Raw genomic sequence first — 23384 nt, forward strand, 5'->3', positions numbered from 1 at the left:
GCTTGAGTATATTTAAGCCCAGATCTACACAGTACTCACAGGGCAGGATTCACACGTTTAAGCCTAGATCTACACAGTACTCACAGGGCAGGATTCACACGTTTAAGCCTAGATCTACACAGTACTCACAGGGCAGGATTCACACGTTTAAGCCTAGATCTACACAGTACTCACAGGGCAGGATTCACACGTTTAAGCCTAGATCTACACAGTACTCACAGGGCAGGATTCACACGTTTAAGCCTAGATCTACACAGTACTCACAGGGCAGGATTCACACGTTTAAGCCTAGATCTACACAGTACTCACAGGGCAGGATTCACACGTTTAAGCCTAGATCTACACAGTACTCACAGGGCAGGATTCACACGTTTAAGCCTAGATCTACACAGTACTCACAGGGCAGGATTCACACGTTTAAGCCTAGATCTACACAGTACTCACAGGGCAGGATTCACACGTTTAAGCCCAGATCTACACAGTACTCACAGGGCAGGATTCACACGTTTAAGCCCAGATCTACACAGTACTCACAGGGCAGGATTCACACGTTTAAGCCTAGATCTACACAGTACTCACAGGGCAGGATTCACACGTTTAAGCCTAGATCTACACAGTACTTACAGGGCAGGATTCACACGTTTAAGCCTAGATCTACACAGTACTCACAGGGCAGGATTCACACATTTAAATGCTAAGGGATGAGGTATCAGGAGAGGTATAAGACAACAGGGAGTGGTAAGGCCTGGTACACTGAAAAACAGGATTGTTTTAAAGCAGGAAAGCCTTGCTCAACTCTGGAAGAATTTTGCTGTGTGCCAAAGCAGAACTAGTCTTGTCAGACTTTCTAAGTTTTGGAAGAAAGGACAGAAATCAGCATATTAATGTTAAAACTCATAATGTTTAAGACATGGGAGTTCATTCAAGCCTTCAAAGACATCACTGTGCAAACTAATCAAAACACACCTGTGAGTTTGGCCCCACTAGGGTTTCTGGAGTTTCCTTCCTCCCATTCAACTATCAGGTGAACTACAATTAGGTATTAATCCTTAATGACAGCTTCCTAATGACCTTGTTTAGCTATTTCAAGAGGATCCTTCCCTAAAGTATTCAGAATCGCCTTGAAACATGAAGACCACTTCAAGTGCTATGCAAAGTGAGGGAAATTTGGAGAGTAGATTCTTCTGAAGATTTCTCTGCTAAATAAGTTGCACTCAACTGAAATCCAGATGTGCCAGCACTGAAGCTCCATCGCAGGCAAGGCCGACTCATTGACCCCAACTTCTGTCCACTCAAGTGCCCCGAGACTGCTGGTGATTTAGCAAGTGAACTCCTTGCCAGTTGTAAGAGCTAATTCAATCTCATCCCCAGGGTGGTATAGGTACATTAAGAGTTGCAGCTCTTAGAGTAGTTAATCCGGAAAAAGAAAAAAAAAAGCCAAAGTGCTTGCTGAACATTTAACTGAAAAATTTCTCATTTGTACCTGATGGTTCTGAATTTTGTCAACTGTTTCTTTGTATCCTTGTGACACGTTTCTTATTTGTCATGTTTTCTTTTAAGAAAGAATAATGTGAGGGAAATGAAATGTTCATTTGTTACTGGAAACTTACAGTGATGAGATGTGGTGCATAAGACATCATAAAATATCCCTCATTTCCATTTGCATTTGTCACTGCTCCAAATCATTCACGTATCTCTGTATCTGCGTCTGCATCTAGCTTTGATTTATTCACATAATTGATGTAGAGTGACTTTTCCCAAAGACATGAATTATATTAAATTTTTGATTTGTGCATGTATTTGCTTTTGCATATCTTACTTTTAGATTTTTATAGCTCTTCGAACTCAGAGAACATTCACCACATCTATATTGGCCTAGGGAATGTTGAAAGAATGATTTTAATTATGCCACATATTTTTGCACTGTTCTTATCTACAAACAATTGTATAAGCTATGCCTTTTGAATATATTCATGTGCTGTGCCAGATAGTAGTAGTGCAAAATGCTAATGTTGATTTTAAAAGAATGACCTTTCCTTGTGTGTTTCTTTCCAGTGATCTGCTTATCTAAGACGGATAGTATTGATGGACTGCACTATCACAGTCTTAGACTTGCAGAAATGCCTTGGAGTTTTTTGTTTGACATTTCTTTGTCCCTTGGGTACTTTGCTCTGACTCTGTCATTTAGACTTTACTGTAAGGATAACCAATTAGTAGTTAAATGAGTTGAAGGAGTCTTTTTATGTACTCTATTCAAATAACACTAAACTCACTGTCACATGAATAGGAGATATGAATTATTTCTCTACGCACTTTTAAAGCAAGCCCACACAGTAAATGATATTGTTCATAACCCCTGCCTTTATTGCTTTCTTCCCTACACTTAGGGACTTATTTTAAAGAAGAATTTATAGATCCTCTATTCTGTATTCCAGTAGAAATAATAACTCAGTAGGAATAGGAGTATGTAGTTTTTTTTAATAAACATATAACAGAATGGTAGAATTAGTTTTGAAAGCCATACTCTGAAGGAACAACAATGAGAATACTTGCTGGGAATTCGCCTCTTTAAGAAATAGCAGAGGACTGCCAAATTAACAAAATGCCCCTGGTCTGTATCATTTATACATGGTACAGATATATATTGTGGACCTACTGTGTTCCAAACCCAAAGATTGAAGAAGTAAATTCTCACTTCCTGTCTTTGACATATTCAGAATTTGGAAATATTTCGGAAGCTAGAAGTCAATACTCACAATCTAACTCTTAGAATGAATGATCCTTGGTCTTTTAACAAAGGACATCTGACTAATAAAATAGTCTTAGAGTTGTAGGAGAAATGTGTCATTCTGGACAACAAAGACCTTCTGTCTCTTTCGCAATGGACTGTTTGCGTAAAATACCAGCGTACTTAGTGAATTAGACATCTACAACACTGTGTAAACATTCCTTTCCAGTCATTGCTTCCTGGTCAGTCATAGAGACCACTTTGAAGTGCCTTTATTTTGAACACTAGGAAAGAACTACAGGAGAGCCACAGCCCTCTGAAGTAGTAATTTTTGTAAATTTGCGAATAATGATGTTACATCACGTCACTGGGACATCAAACCTGTCTAATGTGCACTACTACTCCCACACTACTACTGCTAAGGCAACAACCATTTACTAGGCTTATTGGCCGTGTGCCAAGTGCTGTGTTTATTTCTTATTTTCATAGGATATGTTATTTAATTAACGGGTAGCTAAGAGAGAGGGTTCCAGAGACAAACTGCTAAGGTTCACATTCTTGCTTCCATTATTTGCTAGCTGCATGAACTTAGCCAAATTTCTCAACATTTCTGTGTCTCAACTACCTTATCTATAAAATGGAAATACTTGCCTGATAGGTTTTTATATGATTAAATCAGAAGATAGTGGTTAAGTGCTTAGAGTGCACAGACTAAATGTTCAATTTGCTATAACATTTCTATAATATCACTCAATGAATATTTGCTATAATATTTTCATATCTCTTACTGATCACTGTAACTCAAATAATTGTGCTGTCTTATTATTCTTAGTTTGCAAGTGAAAAACTGAAGTTCACACTAACCTTTTAGTCAAAAAATGCACTAAATTTCTGAGCTGAAATTCCAACACTGTTTGATCTGATTCTGCAGTTCCAATGGGGGATGATATGTAAAGAGAAGGGGTAGGACTGCACCTGAAATGTTACTAGAATTCTATTCAATGATCTGTGATCCTCATATTCATTCAAAACCTATGGGTGGGAGATGTGGGGAATGGGTGGGAGATGTCAGAATTTGTATTTACAGTGAAGCAGGGAGTTTAATAAGGTGGAATTTCAAGGTTTTTAAAACTCGATGGTTTTTGTAAGGTGGGAGTGGAATGGAGAGTGAGGTAGTAAATTGGGATAATCAACCTCGGAGTCTCTGGGATGGGAGAGATTTCTCCTCAGTATTCAAATTCTGGAAACCTTTTGAACTTCCACCAAAAATAACAAGCCGTCTAATAAACAAACCATCCCATGCACAGAGAAAGAAATGGATGGTTGGGGCTTTGAAGCCAGTGGTGGTTCTTAGTCTGTGTGGCTAACCCACTAGGGACAGATGGTATTATTGGGGGCAGCTCTCAGAAGATTTGTAAAATATGGTGAGGTTAGTAGCATGGCCAATTTTGTTGTACAGTATCCTCAGTTAAGCATGTATACCAGGAGAAGGATCCATCTTTCTTGCACTTTGAAGGATTTGGTAACTTATTCAGGACTTGGTCCTATAGCTGTGGCAGCAACAAGAGTAGTCAGCTCAGCTTAAGCCTCTGTTCCTAAAGGAACTTGGTCTAAACTTGTAGGTCTAAAGACCTACAAGTGGCTCTGATGGGGACCTGCAGTGATGCACCAGCGAGCGACAAATGGAGACATTTCTTTAACAAGGAAAGCGATACAATTTCTACATGGGAAGGATGCATTGGAAGCAACCTGGTTAGAAGGGGGCTGGGGACTCATTTTGAAGGTCTGGCTGCACAACAGGCATCATGTTCTTACTTAGATTTAAGTTTCTTTGGAATTAATAAAAATTATGAGCAAACTGACTCCTTTCCTGAGGTACAAGTTTGCTCTGCGGCTGCTCTTTCTCTTCTGTGAAAACGTGAAGCTCCAGTTTTGGTGCTAGCAACAACAGGACAGAGGCTTACTTTGCAATATGTCTGATAGTGATTGTGTGGTTTTCCTGCATCAAAGGGTTAAAGTTGAAATAAAACTTGCATTTCATTTTGAGCAAATAAAGCAAGAGCAAATGGCATTGTCCTGAGAAATGTTAGCACACTGTAGATTCTTAAATTTATTGTGGTTGAGGATGGATGCTCTCCAGATTAGCAAGGCAGCACTTCCAATGTTCAGTGGAGGGCACTTTAAGATGCAATTATTTACACTTCATGTTGTGATATTACAACAATAGTTAATAAGAGCTGGAGAGATTTCCTAATTATCTGAGGGTGCAGGAAATCATTTCACCCTCCCCTTACTTGAAATACTAGGAATCAAGTCTGCAGGAAGCTGGCTGATCACAAATCACGTGTCAGCACCTCCATAACATTTACCTGCATAATTTGTCCTTATTATTTTTTATGTTGATGAATCTATATTGATAAATCTTGCATTTATCTGTTTTTTGCAGTATGTATTTCCTATTTCACAGTAGTAGGGACCCTACGCTCTATTTACTTTGTGCTCTTTCACAGTACACCATAGGATTTAAATAAATGCCTATTGAAAAATTCAACAAATAAGCCATGTCATTTTTGTTAAGCAGCTTTACTTGGAAGCAAGACTTCTGTTCAAAATTATGCTAAGATGAAGAGTCTCACCATCATTTCCCTGGTGACCTGTGGGCACAGAATTTAATGAGAATTTGTTTCCTTGCCCTCATAGCAACTTCCTCTGCATAAGATCCTAATTAACCACCATAAGGTGATTTAGGCCTTGGGGTGGGGTGGAATTATTCATTTTCCTCTATTTTACATTTATATTTTACTTCATAATACTGCATTCACTTCCTTTGAAATGTTAGTATTAAGAAGTTTTCTAGTAGCTGTTCTCTTAAAATTACGAGGATTTTTGATTTTATGTTATTTTATTAGTCAAAAACTAAAACCAAAAGCAAAATCTGTAAAATTCCTTTTTTGAGGATGTAAAATTGCCTTATACATTATATCTCATTATCTTTACCGATTTTAAAATTAACACCTAATTAAACCGTGTGTGTATTTCAAACGTGAGGCTAGGTTCTCATTGATGCTCTCCACTAAATTGTTGCATGAAGCTCAAGAAAAATGTGAAAGATTATACAGTTTTTGGGCAACAAATATTCTCCCTAAGACTCAAGATGTGTTTTCTTAAGAAAATAGATTTAAAATGTGAACTATTTCCAAAATATAAAGCAAATTAAGAAGCATTTTCTTGAAGGAGAAAATGTAACAATTACCATAGAAATGCATTTGCCTTGATATCGTCATTTTTAGCAATGAGTTTGATCAGCTTTGTGTTGATGATCAATTCTAAAATGATTCTTTCCTATGAAAAACCATGCTTTGGTTTCATTTCACAGCTGCTAATTTATTTACTTCACATTTGTTGTCATTATCGCATTCTCTGTTTATTCTTGCTTCAAATGTGTTTTGCCCCGACACATGTTCAATAGATACAATCCTTTACATAAAAATGAAAGTAGATTTCTAAAACTCTGTAGTATATTTACATCAAACTGTGGGTAAAATAATTTGGAATAATAAAGTGTTTTAGATATTATGGCAGTGATGAAGAAAATGTATTGAAAATGATGACTAGGCCAGGCACAGTGGCTCACTCCTATAATCCCAGCACTTTGGGAGGCTGAGATGGGCAGATTATTTGAGGTCACGAGTTTGAGAGCAGTCTGGCTAACATGGTGAAATCCTGTCTCTACTAAAAAATACAAAAATTACCCAGGCACAGTGGTGGGCACCTGTAATCCCAGCTACTTGGGAGGCCGAGGCAGCAGAATCACTTGAACCTGGGAGGCAGAGGCTGCAGTGAGCTGAGATTGCGCCACTGCAGTCCAGCCTGGGTGACAGAGCGGGACCCCATCTAAAAAAAATAAAATAAAGTAAAATAAAATAAAATAAAATAAAATAATGACTAGCTTATGCTCTCAGTACACATTTTGGATTAGATTTCCTACTTCAGTTAATACAGGTTTCTTCTTTCCCTCAATATTATTGCACATGCCATAAATATATCTTGCAAAACTGAATAAGAATTAACTTTGAGGCAGCTATACATCTTATAGTCTTGTTAGCATACAGAAAACAATTAATAAAGAATCTTCGGAATTATTTAGATTTGAGTTCAAATCCTGAGTTCAATTATTAGGAGTTAGGTTTAAGAAATAATTCACTCTACCTCTCTTCCAGTATTCGAGAATACAGGGTTAAAGGCAGAGCTCAATCAGATGGCAAAATATTGGCTTTGTTTACACTTCCCCAGTAATTATGAATGTTAAAGGGTGTTGAGTGGGATTTTGTATTTTGTTGTAGCTGTTGTTGCTCTCAAATTGGTAACTAGAGTTCACAGCTGCATGCAGAGATTAGCCTGGTATACCATTTACTAAAGAGAGAAGCAAAAAATTATGGTCAGAATCCTGTCTCAGGAGCTTCTTAAGAGTTGAAAGAAAAAACTCAATTTCCCCAACCATCAACCAGCTGCTCGGCTTGTGCACAAAAAGTTTTGGAGGCAGGAAGGAGGAGAGTAGCTCTTTGAAATGTTCTAGCATTGTGGAATGTGCATCATTTATGATCAGATGGGATTCCTTCTATAGCGCTTTTCTCATCTCAAGTCAAGTGAAGGGCTCCAACTTAATCATTTGTACAGACTGGTGCACGTGAAAGAAGGAGACTTGCAAATGTTCCCTGTTTAGTTAACTGAATCAGTAATGAACTTCCGAATCTGTTTCTGTGCCAATGTTGGGCAGATAGGAGAAAAATGGAGAGAGATGGTAGGGAGGGTCAGTGGAGCACCTACATTCTCGCCTTTCAGCCCAGGTGGGGTACATGAATGTTCTGTAGATAAAAAAGACTCTCTCTCTCTATATATATATATGAGATGGAGTTCTGCTCTTGTGGCCCAGGCTGGAGTGCAATGGTATGATCTTGGCTCAGTGCAACCTCTGCCTCCTGGGTTCAAGCGATTCTCCTGCCTCAGCCTCCCAAGTAGCTGGGATTACAGGCATGCGCCACTATGCCCAGCTAATTTTATCTTTTTAGTAGAGATGGGGTTTCAACCATGTTGGTCACGCTGGTCTCAAACTTCTGACCTCAAGTGATCCATCTGCCCTGGCCTCCCAAAGTGCACGGATTACAAGGATGAGCCACCACACTCAGCCAAAACAGACCCAGTATTAAGCAGCTGGGCTTGAGCTGTTGCTGGTACCTCATCTAAGGGGGTTGGTAACAGGCTACAGTGACAAAAGCAGCAAGAGGCAGTGAGATCTCCAGGAAGCTGGAGGAAGGTGGGATGAAGGTGGAAGTACCTGAGACCTGTGCAGAACCTGACCCAGTAGAGGGGCCAGGCTAGAAGAGATGTGATAATTCCAAGGTGCTAAAGAGGAAGGGGGAATCAAAAAAGAGACAACGCTCTTTTATTTTCATTTCAGCTCCTTCCAGCCATAGTTCTGGCCAGAAATGGGGGGAAGGGGGAAATATTTTGAATCAAACTGAGTTTTAGTGACAGAAGGTGACTTGAGATTTATGGAAGAATCAAATGCATAAAGGCATGGGAAAGGAGAATTTGGCAAAAAATAGTGTGGAAAACTGTGTTTGAAGAAAAAAAATGGAAATATTTCAGGCCAATGAGGGTCTTTGATAAACCAGTTACAGCTGGATTAGAGAACTCTATGAGGCTTCACATGTTATTTTTCCTGAATTTAAACCCTGGGACTCAATATTATTTCTAACCAATCATAGGTAGCGAGGTTGAAAGGGAGACTACAGAGACCTGATTGGTGTTTTTACCACCTGGACCTGGAAGCACTGTCATTGACAGATCCCAGGTGTAGGCAGAAAGGGCAGGGGATCCGGGTGCAAAAGAATGAGCCTTGCCTTGTTTTTGAAGTTTCCGTTGAACCAAGCTGATGAGACATCTACCTGTTGTTCTAGTTACTGTTAGTGCATAAAAAATTACCCAAAATTTGGTGGCCAAAAACAATAATTTATTTTGCTCACGATATTGTGGATTAAGAATATAGAGAGGGCAGTTCTTGCTAAAAGTTTTAAATGCAATTGCAGTCAAGTTGTTAGCTGGGGCTGCAGTTATATGAAGGTTCACCTGGGCTGGCTGCTCACCACAGCTTTCCCACATGGCTCGTAGTGGACGTCTGCTGCCAACTGGGAGCTCAGCTGGAGCTGTGGACTTGAGGGTGCACACATGTGTGACCTCTCCATCACAGCAGTCTCAGGGTAGTTGAACTTCAGGCATGACTGCTGGCTTTTTCAGAACCAAGAGGAAGTAGAAAGCTTTGTTTGATCACACCTTAGAATAATTGGTTACAAGTATATCATTAAGACCAGCCTGAATTCAAGGAGAGAGGTATAAGCCTCATCTCTCAATGGGAAGTTGTCAAAGAGTTTGTGGACATGTTTTAAATCTATCACCCTGTGAAAAGCCAAAAATACTGCTCCAATCAAAAAAAAATTCTTATATTTTGGCCAAAGTTCCATTTCCTAAGGATTGTGGGGAGGGGGAAGGAAAGTTTTTGTGAACTCGGGCAAGTCATTTTAACTCGCTGATTTTCAGTTTTCTCTTACCAAAATGAAAGCAAAAATGCCTACTTTATTGTGCTATTGTTTAATGGGGTGAGGTTGGTGGCTCATGCCTGTAGTTCCAGGTACTCAGGAGGCTGAGGCAGGAGGACTGCTTGAGCCCAGCAGTTGGAGACTGCAGTGAGCTGTGATTACACCACTGCACTCCAGCCTGGGCAATAGAGTGAGACCCTGTCTCAAAAAAATCATTGCACTTTTGTAAATTTAAATGAAAAGACAGTGTCTAATATATAGTAGCTCTTATTATTTACTCATATTACATGAGGTATCCAAAGAGAATTTCTCGCAAGATATAATGAAGAAGATTTGTATATTGGAAGCTTTCATTTATGGTTGGAGAAAAACTGCTAAAGATTTGTAATTTTGAATGAACATTGGCATAAATAGAAAGCCAGCGCGCAGAGCAGAGAAGGCTGATATTTTTATGCTAAGCTGTAGAAATCAGGAAATGTGTGATAAGGTTATCTGAAAAATAGATTCAGAGAAACCACAGAGAGAGGAAGGGGAAATCAAAGTGAACATTGATGAATGTGGGTAAGGATATTGTGTGTTGGGGAAGCATCTTAGTTCTTCCATTTAATACACATGTGATGTTTGAAGCACTCTTATGAAAAGTCATCTTTCATGTTAAGTGGAGATCATGTATTTGTAACATTTCCATTTGGTAGTCATATCTCTAGCTATTAAAAATCACATTGTGATAAAATACTCTTTTGATAGGTGCTGACTGTAAAATCATATGGTAGACATTTTCTGCAATGTAGCATGATTTAATAGAATTGGGAAAATAATGTTTTTATATTTCTATTATAAATAACATTCATATAGATAATCTTACCAGTTGCTATCAATACAGGGAATTCTTGTTTCAATTAATTAGTTAAAATTTTCATTGTTTTTGTGCTTTACTGTAATATTGCTACTGTTATTTGAAACACATTACATTTGTATAAGCACATGTAGCAATGCCAAAAATATTGGGGTGCCTACTCTGTGCAGGGGTTTACATTAGTTGTTGCATATTTCCAATTCATAATTTTGTGTTTTTTGTATTCCTGTCATTATGGTATACTTTGTTGTTTTTGCATAGATTTTATAGTCTTTTTCCAGGTTTTAGGTTTGGTAATAGAAATACTTCTATCTCATCAATTTCAAGTCTACTTTCAGAAATATTTCAGGAAGGCAAACTGCATTCTTAACAAGAGACTATGTTTTCGTTCTTTGGAAATGGGAAGATAATTAAGACCCATATTCTGTCCTCAGGTAGCTAATAGAGTACACTAGTGTATTAGCCTATTAGCCATGGCATTTTCAATTGCAAGAAATCTAAGGCAAAAGGGAATTTTAGATCTTACAATTAGAAATACCGTAGAGTTGTTCACATTATGAAAAATAAGTTACAGGATTAGGGAAGAGCTTATGTTCAAATAGTTCAAAGCAGCAATGGACGTATTTTGTATTGAAAATTCCAAAGATGATCATAAAGATGACTCCTTGGCACTTGCTCCCAAATGGATTCATCCTTTTATTCATTCAGTCTTTCATCCATCCAGTACTTACTGAACTCCCATATTTGCCAGGCATTTGGTGCTAGAGATAGAGAGGTGAATAAGACCAAGTTTTGCCCTTATGAGAGCAACAGTCTAATCTAGGGAGATGACAGACAGCAAAATCAATGAAGAGATAATGAAGGGCCACCTAGGGATCATTCCTATTAAGCTGGTATAAGTTGGTTTAAACTAGATAATGAAAGAAGGTCTTTCTGAAGCGGTGCCTTTGAACCTGAGATTTGACTGACATCTCTGCGAAGATCTGGGAAAGTCTTCAGGTGGAGGGTAGAGCAGGTGTAAGACCCTAGGAAAGTGGGAGCTTGGTAGTATTTCACAAACAGTGAGGAGGTGGGAGTAAATTCAGCACTTTATGAAGTTTTGTGCATTCTTCAGTGTTGTTGGCATCAGTGAGTGTGCGATAGCTAGAAACAGGTCAATAAATTATTCATGATCAAAATGAATTTGCTGTTTCTCTGGCCACATTATTGCACCCTTGGGAAGTGGTTAGTTTGCCCCACCTGGACCAAAGGAGAGTTCCTTACCCAAGAACCTGAATCAATATGTTTTAGTTTAGCTATGTTTTTCCACAAGCTCTTAAGCTCTTTAATTCCATAAAGACAATTATCACTCCTAGACTTAATCATTTTTCTCTTAGCCTCTGTGTTACCTTCTTTAATCTTATTCAAGACTTGTTTCCTCCAGTCCCTTATTGTTTTGCCATTAAGCCTTATCAATATTTGCTTGGAGCTATATTTAATATATTCACGTTCTTTTTCTATTCTCTCTCATTTTTTCTGTGCAAGGCCAAATGTAAATGTCACGAAATTATCAGAATCTTGAATTTTGATGTCACATTTATGTTTTCTATCATAATGACTTCTTTTAAAGAATAAGGGTATATATCTCTTATGAATGCTTCTTATTTTTAAGTTATAATGTTTCTGCCTTTTAAATTAGAGGTGGTAGGATGGTAATATGCCTATGTTAAATTTGCTTTTCTACTAGATGTGTTTCCTAACTGCTCCAATCTACTCTTGCCTATACTGTAATGTTCCATGCTGTAACCAGATAATTCTTTCTGAAATACAAATTTGACCACGCCATAATTCTGCCTAAAATGTGTTGATGATTTCACATTCTTTTTGGGTAAAGATCAGCTCCTTACATGGCCTACAAAGCCTCAATGAAATAGACTCAGCAGCAGGGAGGCTCCTCTCTGACCAAATCCCTTCTCACTTCACCAGTTTCCATTCACTGACCTTTTCCTCCTTAGTTTCTGTTCTCCATGCCAGTCTGAAAACAGAGAATTTGCATGTACTCATTTGTCGTGTTCACTACATTTTTTTCCCTCCTTGACTAACTAACCTATACATCCTCCCAAATCTCAATTCAATGATCACTTCATGACAGTCACCATCTCTGGATAGATTGTTAAAAGCAGATCTAGACAGAGTACCACATGCAATTTCTGGTCACCCTAAAACATTATACATGCACACACAGTGCATACACACATATACCCCACACACATTCCAGGTAATATTCAGAAATCTTACTATTTTAATAGGAATGTGTTTGCCTAAGTTGAACCATGCTCAAAAAAAGAACATTCCAAATTATTAAGCTGACTAAAGCTGTCTTTAAACAGCAGAATACATATACCCACTGTTCAGATTAGCTAAATGGGGAAATAACTGCTTTTCAAGGTTATTAACCCACAATATTCTAATCTCAGATGCTGTACTAGAACAGTCTGGCACAGTTACTGTTTGGTTTATTTTTTTACTCTAGTGAGCTGTAGGCTGACACGTTACCAATAGCTTCTTTTCATTGTAAGCAGCATACAGTGTGATGCTCAAAGTGTAAACAGGATAATTTTTACCATTTTCAGGAGCATCTAAGTCATCTACAGTTGGATAACTTTTTTCCACAATTTGTGAAATACAGGTGTATCTGTCAAAACTGATGCACAATTTTCTCTGTTTCTTTTATCTGTATAATGACTTACCCAATTCCTAGTGTGCAAGAAATATTATTGATGTCTTATTGAATCCTGTTGCTTTCTGTATATACTACTGTGATCTTGGTGGCATCTTCATTTATTATTCTGGTGGACGCATGTAGCTTACTATCAGTGTTTTTATGAGACAAGAAGCAATATCTCTCTTTTCTAACTAAGCATTTAGACAGTAAATTCTCTTTGCATGGATAGCAGTGTGGTCCTACTCACCACTGCAACTTCGTTGCCTAGCATGGCACCAGCACACAGTTGAAACTTCATTCTTGAAACAGCCTGTGGGTTAGGGATATTCTACCTATTTACTAGTGATGAAACTGCCCCTTAAAGGAATGGGTGAGTGATTGCCCAAGTGTACACAGCTGCTAAGTGGTAGGGGTCAGGCTCTTAGTCGCAGTGTGGCTCATTATCTAGCATTTGCTAACATGTTATGGAGGCATTTTGCTACTTTAAAATAATTTATTTATTCAAACTTCATATTCACTGGTCAGATTTCCCTTGTCAGACTGAGAAAAGAAACCACTCATTTGCAGGACAGTAGCAAACATCTTACTTGCATTCCAGTTGTGTATGGGTTCTTTTAAACTTCATAATATTCTTTTCTTATTCCTCTTGCTATATATTGATGGCAACCGTAGGCCTAGGTTTACCACATCTCTATAGAACAAAGCCATATCTTATGAATTGTTTTAGGTGCTATCTGGACTGACACAGTTTTGTTACCTATAGCAAAATATTTACTGCTTTGTTGCAGAGAAAGCTAGCAGATGGTTTTCATGACATCATAGGCAGGGAAGAGTAGACATGTAGGGTCCACATGTTTGGCCTTTTTTCCAAGAGTCTAACTTCATATATTCATGAGAATTTTGAATGAAGAATTCAATAAACTTGTTATTGTTCTATAATGAGAAATCTTTATTTGCTGAAAACAAAGCCTATTACTGTGTTCTAAAGAATAGATCTCAGTCTGAAAAGAATGCTAGTGCAAAGATAAACTTACATAAAAAAACTAGTATAAAATTTAAATATTATTAGCAATCATGATTAAGGATATTATTAATTGTATATATATACTATGTGCCAAACAATTGGCTAAGTAGTTTATATTTTACCTTATTTAATCCTTAAAACCCTTTTAACATATGAAAAAACTTAGAACTTGAATGTTTAAGAAGGTAATTTTTGTTCTAAAAACTAATAATTAGAAGAGTTGGGGTTAAAGATATGTTGAACTCTAAAGTCGAAATTATTATTGTTTATATTATTCTTTTAAAAATTAAGATAAATATTATATATTCATTGTCATGATTACTTTTATAATATATTTTTCCGACCTGTCTAAAATGCTGTGAAGGTAAAGATCATTATGTCTGTTTAATTCACCACTATATTAAAAGTATTATATTGCACCACCAATCATATTGTATATGATTTGTGTCCATTGTAGATACTCAATAAAATATATCAAATGAATCAACTTGAGCTTTGAAGGTTGGGATTGTCACAACATTAAGAGTGTTATAACCTTTCTTCTCAGACATTTTTGAGGAGTTGGAGATAGGAAACTGCAGAGTTTAGCCTGTTTGGAAGAAAGCTGGTGTTTTATAGTTTGCAGCATGATTGGAATCCAGTGACTCAACTGCCTTTGACCATGAGGTTTCAATAAGAGGCAAGAAGAACTTCAGTTCCAAGGAAAATCTCCTGATTAAAAGAGTCGTACACTGATCTCAAAAAGACTTCAATGGCAGCATGGCATGGAGTTCAAGAGTATGGGCTCTGGGGCTGGGCACGGTGGCTCACACCTGTAATCCCAGCACTTTGGGAGGCCGAGGGGGGCGGATCACGAGGTCAGGAGATTGAGACCGTCCTGGCTAACAGGGTGAAATCCCTTCTCTACTAAAAATACAAAAAATTAGCTGGGCATGCTGGCCGGCACCTGTAGTCCCAGCTACTCAGGAGGCTGAGGCAGGAGAATAGCGTGAACCTGGAAGTCGGAGGTTGCAGAGAGCCGAGATCATGCCACTGCACTCCAGCCTGGGTGAAAGAGGAAGACTCCGTCTCCTAAAAAAAAAAAAAAAAAAAAAAAAAAGAGTATGGGCTCCGGGCCAGATTATCCGGGTTCCATTCTAAAGCACTCCACTTATTAGCTGGTGACTTTTCAAATGACTTCTCTATACCCAAATGATCTCATCTGAAAATTGGAGATAATGATTGTACCTGCCTCATAGGATTATTATTATTAAGATTAAATGAATTACTGATAAAATACTTAGAACAGTGCCTGATACACAATATGTGTTATGTAGTGTTTGTTACATGAGTATTCATTCTAAAAAGTCTTTTAAAATATAAAGTAAATGCTTATAGATTTTTTTTAAAAAATTATGCATCTGCTTGAAAACTAAAGGATATTATTTGATAAAGTGCTAAGATGTTCTCAGTGCTAGAATTATATAATAGTAGCCACATCCTGGAACCATAAAGGCATTCTTAAGGAAGTTTATATTTAAAAAAGCAAAATAAAGAGCCAGGAATGAGTAACTAGTGCACAGACTGTGAAACCAGAGGATAATATTCTATATCTGTAAATACACATAACATTAAAATCCTTAATTTGACAACTGGCAGAAGAACACAGCATTGAATCTTGTATATTTTCATTTTCTCTTTCTCTTCTCTACCACATTCATTTCCATGTTACTTTTATCCTTTTCAGAATGACCAATTGCTTCCGTTTTAAACTATACTCACTGTACTTGGGATTTATTTCTCTTACCTTATACTGGAAAAAAATGCAAAAAAAGGGCATTCAGAACTTACGTGTCATTTTTATATTGCGAATTCAAGGAAAATAAATATTTTTGTGACTTTATTTCTAAGTGTTACATTTGCTTATTTTGTCTTTTCCATATTTCCCCCTTTCCCTGTCTTTGGCATGACATTTGGAATTGTTATTGGAAAGAGAATCAACTCAGAAATCAGGAAAGTTAGCCAGTGACACATTCCTTTATTACATGATGCAAATATTTTGCTTTGCTCTTTTAACATTTTTCTTTTCCATAACAAGAAGTTTTACAGCTACATTTCACAGATTTTACATCTCTGCATCTAACAGAAACATAAAATGTAGTTTGCATTTAGGTATTTGTATTTTATTTTACTAGGCAGGAATGTGGAGTGTGTTTGTGAGCTTGTGCATGTGAGCTGGAAGGAAGTGTGGTTGCCCAGTACTTCCTCAACTCATGACTGAAACTTTGTTCCAGTTCAAGAAGGAAATAAAGAGCCCTTCAAAATAGAATACTGAATACTTTCTTCATCCGCTCTATAGAAATCAGGCCAGGAAGCAAATTAAAATTACAAGAATATCCAAAACAGAATTATTTTGCTTGCTGTCTGTGTATTTGACCACTGCCTTTTATGATTTTAACCTTTCCAGACATTCTCTTTGGGGTCGGTTTTCCTTGTGGCCCATAGGAGATCCCACTGAAATCATTTACTAGTTGTTCCAGATTTCCCCACAATCCCCATTGCGCTAAGTGGCGGCTAATGTGGGAGCTGTCATGTTTGGAAAATACCATGATGCCATGAGTTAATTTCATACCTGTCACAAGATCTTGCATGCGATCCCAGGGGACCAGTGGTATGTCACACACTACTGCAAGCGTTCGTTAGTACCTCTCAAAGCAATGAACCATGGCCAAGAGATCTTGTTGCAACATATGGCAGCACCTGTCACCAGGCTTCATGACTGGCATAAAATTAACCTGTTTTCCTGTTTGATGCGCTGCTTTTTTTTGCTTATCCGTAAAAAGGATGAGAATAAATTGTATTTGGAAACAATTTACTGTTCCTTTCAAGAAGTATAATGGTAGACTTGGGTTACTGGACACAATGAATAGACAGTGTCCTTGTAGAAGTACACACACTGCTATTCAGTAAAGGTGGTATTTTATGAATTTCTGAATGGCAGTCTGCACATCTCACACAGGAAGCAACGTTTTAGTTTCTGAACTCTGTCAAACTTAGACATAGAGCAAGAAATGACATTATTGTGAGCCACATTGTGGAAGAAAAATCCAGGAAGCATGAGTTTCAGATGTGAGTTTGCCCTTGCCTTTCGAATGGTTTCAAGCAACCTTGAGCTTCCTCTCTCTTCTCTCTATATTTCTCACGCTCAGATCTTAGTATTCTAATGGGGACGCACGAAAAAGGGACCCACAGAAAAACAATATTCAGAATGATGCCGGATATTCAGTGTCTTAGAAAAATAGATTAATGGGATTTAGTCTTTAAGTCTTAAAACTGCAATTTAGCAGTTATTTTTATGGATAAAGACAAAGAATATAGTCCAGCATTTATATATGGCTTTCTACCTCAGAGAAATAGTAAAAGTTTTTTGATCAAATGATTTCTCAATAGAGAAAGTATCCGGTTTCTTGCATCATTTTTCTTTTCTTTTCTTTTCTATTTTGGATCTTCTTATATATCTTTTTGCAGAGCCTTAAGCTTCTTAAAATATTTATTTTAATCGAGGGGGGAGCTGTTTTCTATAGCTAGTCTTTTTCCTTCTTCTTAAGGTAAATGCTTCTTAGATTCTGTGAGTTTTAAAATTCATATACAGCAAAGAACAAAGATAAATTTAGCAGTCTTTTCCCTTTATGTCACTACCAAGTCTAGGGAACAAATGGTGCTGTTCTTCCACAATCTGGACTGGTTGCTTTGAATTCTGGAGTAATCAATTTTTCCTGGCATTTCTTAAATGGTCTTTTTTATTCACTGAATCTCCTTTGAAAGTATAAACATTAGTCCTTGTTCTATGGTTTTGGAAATTGATGACTGCTATTCTCAAAGGATAGTATAGTTGGAATGATTGAAGGAGCAGAGCAAAAAGCTGAACTGAAACAATGGAGGGAGGAAAGATAGTACCAGAGACAATGAGAGAAGTGGGCAGTGATTGGAAGGGAATCCGAAGTAGGGATTGGGGACTTAAAGGCTGCTTAGACTTGATTAATAAATGCTGTATAAATGAAATGCTGAGACAAGGGATAAAATTGCACTTGAGAAGTCACTTGAAAATGTGTTAATGCCTTTACTTGACAAGCATTTATTTTTTCATCCTGGGTATAAAACCACTGTAGGAAAATGTAGATCATTTTTTCACACTGAGTATTTTTTAACTGCTGATTATGGTTATGTTGTCCTAAAATCAGGTTTCTATTATCTGAAAAGAAAATAAAAAGAAATAAATATAGGTGTGTAAAGATAAGTATTTTGGAGGCATGGATCTTCAGGTGAAGTGTCATGTAATATCTTTGCTAAGTCGGGATAAAAATAAAATTTAAAACTGAAATTCATATTTAAAAAGTTCTTAGTAGAGTCTAGGCATTTTTTTTTTTTTAGTGTACCTAACAGTGATGAAAATTTTGTATCTAAAAGAATGAGGGATTTTGCAAGGGATTTTCAGGAGACTGTGGCACTGTCATGGATGGTAGCTATACCATTTTCTAACAAAGTATGTCAAGAAAATTGAACATCAGTCTTCTTACTAGAAAAGAGAATCTGTGGCAAATTATTTTATTAATAACAGCAAACTGAAGAGCCACAAAATAATTTAGATAAGAATTAAAGTGCTGAATAACTTAGATAAGAATTAAAGTGCTGAATAATTTAGATAAGAATTAAAGTGCTGAAACAATTTTATTACTGGTAAAGCTGAATTCAGAACTGCTTCTGGTAATTTTACTGTATCAAGCAGGCCCTGAGAAAGACAACCTGGAACTGTTTAAAGGGAGATGTTCAACGATGGTCACAAGATGCAGGACTCAAGAGCTTCCACCATTAGAAACTATCACCTTTACTACCACCAACAAAATACCTTTTTCTCTGAGAAGGAGTCAGTGAAGGGTAGAGATGAAATAGGAAAAATTTGGTTGGTTGGGTGGGTAGTAAGTTTAATCATTACTCTTCTTTAATGAGTAATAGAGTGGAAATAACTTTCCTCTCTGGTTTTAAAAGTTAACTAATAGTAAGTGTCTTTGTTAAAACACGTAGACACACACATGCACCACACACACACACACATGCACCACACACACACACACACACACGCACACACAACAACTGTTTGCTACAGGATTTCTAATTAATGATATCACATTTTCTAACCCAGTAATTCCCAACTGGGGTTATTTTTTTCCCCTAGGGGACATCTGACAATGTCTAGATACATTTTTTGGTAGTAATGACTTGTATTACTGGTTTCTCAAGGGTAGAGACCAGTGATTCTCCTAAATTCTCCTACAACACCCAGCATATCTCCTCACAACAAGGAATTATTCAGTTGGAAATTTCAAGGGCCCTCAGGTTGATAAGCCCTGTAATTGCTTGAAGTAACTTAATCTCCCTAGTAATTGTGCAGTATCTCATAGTTATTCCTTCTTCCACTACTACTCCCCACAAATTTGCCCACAAACTTGAGAATTTACATAACTCCAGGAGTACAATAGAAAGGGACCTCACATCCAAGTGCTTGGGTACTGTGCTATCCTCTGGTTCCTTATTTGCCTTCACCACTATGATTTACTATTGGTAAAGTTGTGGTCATGTCGGTTCTCCTGGACTACCAGAGCCCAGAAATCTTCTCTTGTTGATGGTTCACCTCTGTCTTAAAGTCTACTTTGTCTAATGTTAATATAACTACCCCAGATTTGTTTTATTTTTCCAATTTGTACCTTTTTTTTTTTTTTTTTTGAGACAAAGTCCCACTCTGTCGCCCAGGCTGGAATGCAGTGGCACAATCTCAGCTTACTGCAACCTCTGTCTCCTGGGTTCAAGCGATTCTCATGCCTCAGCCCCCCAAATAGCTGGGATTACAGGCACATGCCACCATGACTGGCTAATTTTTGTATTTTTAGTAGAGATGGGGTTTCACCATGTTGGCCAGGCTGGTCATGAACTCCTGGCCTCAAGTGATCTGCTTGCCTTGGCCTCCCAAAGTGCTGGGATTACAGGCGTGAGCCACCATGCCCAGCCTATTTCTTTTTCCTATATTTTTGCTTTTGCTTTGTAAATACCTTTGAATATACAGTTTATCTCTTCTAGATACGACATAATCATATCATTTCAAAAACTATTCTGCTAATCCTTACTTTTTGTTAGTGTTTAATTCATTTATGTCTTATATAATTACTGATAAGGTAGAATTGATGCCTGGTGTTTCTATGTCTTTGCTTTTTTATTCCTTCATATCTGCCTTGTTTTTCATTAAATAAATATTGTCTGGCATGCCATTTTATTACCTTGTTTCTTTTGTTGTAGCTTTAAAACTATTTTCTTAGTATCTGTTCTGGGGAATACAATTAGCATTTTACTAAAATAATCTAGATCAGATAAAAATTAACTTAATAGTATACAGAAACTTTGCTCTAATATGTACCTGTTACTTCTTTCCTCCTTGGCTGTTATTGTCATACAAATTACTTTTATACTGTGTAAGCCCATTAACGTGGTATTATAATTCTTGATTTATGTAGTTGTCTTTTAATCGGATAGAAGAAAAGAGTTACAACAATATTTTAATACTTTCTTTTGTATTTTCCTTTACTAGTGTTCTTTATTTATTTGTATAGATTGAGGTTAACATCTAGTGTTCTTTCATTTTAGCTTGAAGGATCCTTAACATTTTTGGCAGTGCAGGACTGCTAGTAAGAAATTATCTCAGTTTCTGTTTATCCAAGAATGTCTTATTATTATTTTTGTAATTTTCAAAGAATAGTTTTGCTGTGTATAGAATTCTTGGTTGACTGTTTGTGACTGGTTGACTGTCTTTCTCCTTCAGCACATTGAATATGTCATCCCACTGAAAAATGTGAATGGCTTCACAAATTTGCATGTCATCTTTGCCCAAGGACCATAGTAACCTTCCCTGTATCATTCAAGTTTTAGATGGGTCACCAAAGCAAGCACTCTGGATCTTTCCATACTGCAATAGAAATGAGGAAGACTTGGGGGAACTTACTATTTCTCTCCATATAAATCCTGCCTTTGCCACTTTTTATCTGTTTTCTGGACTATACTGTATAGAATACAGGGTCTTTCTAAGAAAACAAAATACTTTGATTTTGTGTCCAGGGATCCAAGTAAAAGCCCTGCTTTTGGGGCATCTGGTGGTTTTCTAACAGCTCCTGCTCTGATTGTTTCCTTGTATTCCAGTTTTCTGCCTAATCACATGCAGAACCATTCCATTCACATAGTGAATACATCTCTCACTTGACACAGGGATCCTCATTTATGGGAAAGAAACACAAACCTTTCATTTGAAAAAGATATTATTATGTTTGCTTTATGCAGTACATAAATAAAACTTGATGATCACTTTCTCATAGCCATTCTCTTCACGAATATCATTAGCATTCAATGCAGAAATTAGCCTGCAGTCTTCCCCTAATGTTTGCATGTATCTTTTTTGTGATCCAACATTTTGCTATTAAATAGAATGAATTATGTGGAGACATGATTAGATAATACCAAGAGTATAAGTTTCCTGAGATTAGCAATCACACATGGTTTATTTTAGTCCTTTGTAGAATGTTGTGACTATCTTTCTATTTATGTACACATGTATCTATGAAGTACTTATTCATCCATCCTTTTATTCATTAGTCTAGCCAGTCAACTATCTATTCATCTATCTGTCTGTCTATCTGTCTCTAACATATCTTTTTCTTCACAGGAATTCAATTTGATGTTAGCATATGATAGTTGTCTAATAAATACATGTTAAATTAAATTCATATGAGGAATACAGACTCTAGTGTAAACTATTGGCATTACTGAAATATGGGCTTGATCATTCATTGTGTGGGTAACTACCCCATGGGTACATACATTGGATGTTTAGAACCATCATCCCCGGCATCTCAATATAAGCCAGTATTATTCTCCCAATTGTAACAACCAAAAATGTCTTCAGATAACATAAAAACATCCGTGGGGGAAAAATCCCTCTCCTCCACCCCAGTTGAGAACAGCTGGTATAAAAGCATCCTTTCCTTCTTTTATCACAGTATGTATGATTAAAATAAATGTTAACAATGACTAATAGTAGGGAATTTATCAGATGAATGAATGCATTTACATATGTATTTTCCAGATAGTCACACTCTCCCTCACTGATTCATCCACCCATTTATTATTCAACAAACACTTACTATGTACCAATTATCCACTAAGTACTTTGCCAGGTAGAGGGGATACATTCGTGAAATGTAAGTTTCTGCCCTGATGGGGCTTACAGACTTTCGGTGGAACTAGATAAAACAACGAAACAAAAGATATTACTAATAAGTGTTTTGTTTACAATAAGGCAGGAAGTTATAAGGGAAAGACAGGGGGGCTGCATGAGATTAGTGGACAAGGAAGGACTTTCTGAGGTGACATTTAAGGTGAGAAATGAATAATAAGAGGAAAACAAACAAAGATGTGAAAAATTTATTCATTAATTTTACTTATTTCTTATAGCATATGAGGTTTATGCTAGGAGTGCAAAAGGATGATCATTTGGTGGCATATCAACTTGCTTCTCTACCCATATTTGTGAAAAACACCAGATTGTTTGTGTGGAAGCCACTGGGAACTGTTCCAAACCGTGTGAGAAGTCTGACGTTTTTTATTGAGGGAGCATAGCCCTACCAATGTAAAGGCGTTGTTTTATGACAATGCCGTGAAAACTGGTAAGACATTGAAAAGCAAAAATGAGACATGCAGACCTTAAAATATCCTGTGTGATAAGAACTAGTGATTGTTCACTGAAAAAGACAAATTTTAGTTCTATCTTCATGACATTATATGTTGCTGGGGAGATGGTGGTGACCAGGGAAAACTGTTCAGAGGAAAATCCTGGCCTGATACATTTAAAAGAAAGCAGGTAAATGCGTATTCATCTTTTTTTTTTTTTCTCCAACCTCAGTAGATCTAAGGACATTAATCAGACCTTGGGATAATTATATATAGCTGTGCTATGAGTACGTGGATTCATTTATAATTCCATTGGTAGTAGATAATGCAATTAAGTACAAAATTCTGCAGAATCTATTATATCGTTGTTTGACGAATCAAATAATGTATTCTGCATTTTTATTCTCATGAATATTTCCCTTATAAATAGATGTCTAAAATGAACTATTTTGCATATGCTTGCCTTATGAAAGTAGGCTTATCCACTGGAAATACAAAGCTGTTTTAAGCATATTTGTGTGTTTAAACATGCTTACGCATGTTTTCAAGCATAATTGAAATAATTAGAATAAGTTTCATTATCACCTTTCACCTTTTATGCTAGATGCTGGATCAAGTCAAAACTGGAATTGCAAGTCAAACATCTTGATGAGATACAGAATTCTGTAAAGGGAAGAGATGAATTACAAAATACAACCTTGTTTGAGGAAGACATTATGACAGCTGGGTGA

General features: G+C 37.0%; 1 protein-coding gene and 1 pseudogene across 17 annotated transcripts in view, besides 2 other annotated features; one reads left to right on the plus strand and one right to left on the minus strand.

Annotated features, from left to right (window-relative positions):
* The window catches only part of CHL1 (cell adhesion molecule L1 like), a 212655-nt gene that overhangs the window by 65147 nt on the left and 124124 nt on the right, over positions 1–23384 (plus strand). The window lies entirely within an intron of this gene.
* Positions 2869–3013: an enhancer, noted in NCBI's record as "145 bp enhancer 226 fragment used in the MPRA reporter construct; PK_construct_949". NCBI's record gives its function as "activates an SV40 promoter by MPRA in HepG2 cells {active_cell/tissue: HepG2}" and the evidence as "EXISTENCE:reporter gene assay evidence [ECO:0000049][PMID:23512712]".
* Positions 2935–2946: a transcriptional cis regulatory region, noted in NCBI's record as "FOXA motif; enhancer activity is reduced when this motif is scrambled". NCBI's record gives its function as "necessary for full MPRA enhancer 226 activity {active_cell/tissue: HepG2}" and the evidence as "EXISTENCE:site-directed mutagenesis evidence [ECO:0005528][PMID:23512712]".
* RNU6-1194P (RNA, U6 small nuclear 1194, pseudogene) lies at positions 20780–20883 on the minus strand (annotated as a pseudogene).

This window comes from Homo sapiens, chromosome 3, assembly GCF_000001405.40.
Source record: "Homo sapiens chromosome 3, GRCh38.p14 Primary Assembly".
Classification (NCBI taxonomy): Eukaryota; Metazoa; Chordata; class Mammalia; order Primates; family Hominidae; genus Homo; species Homo sapiens.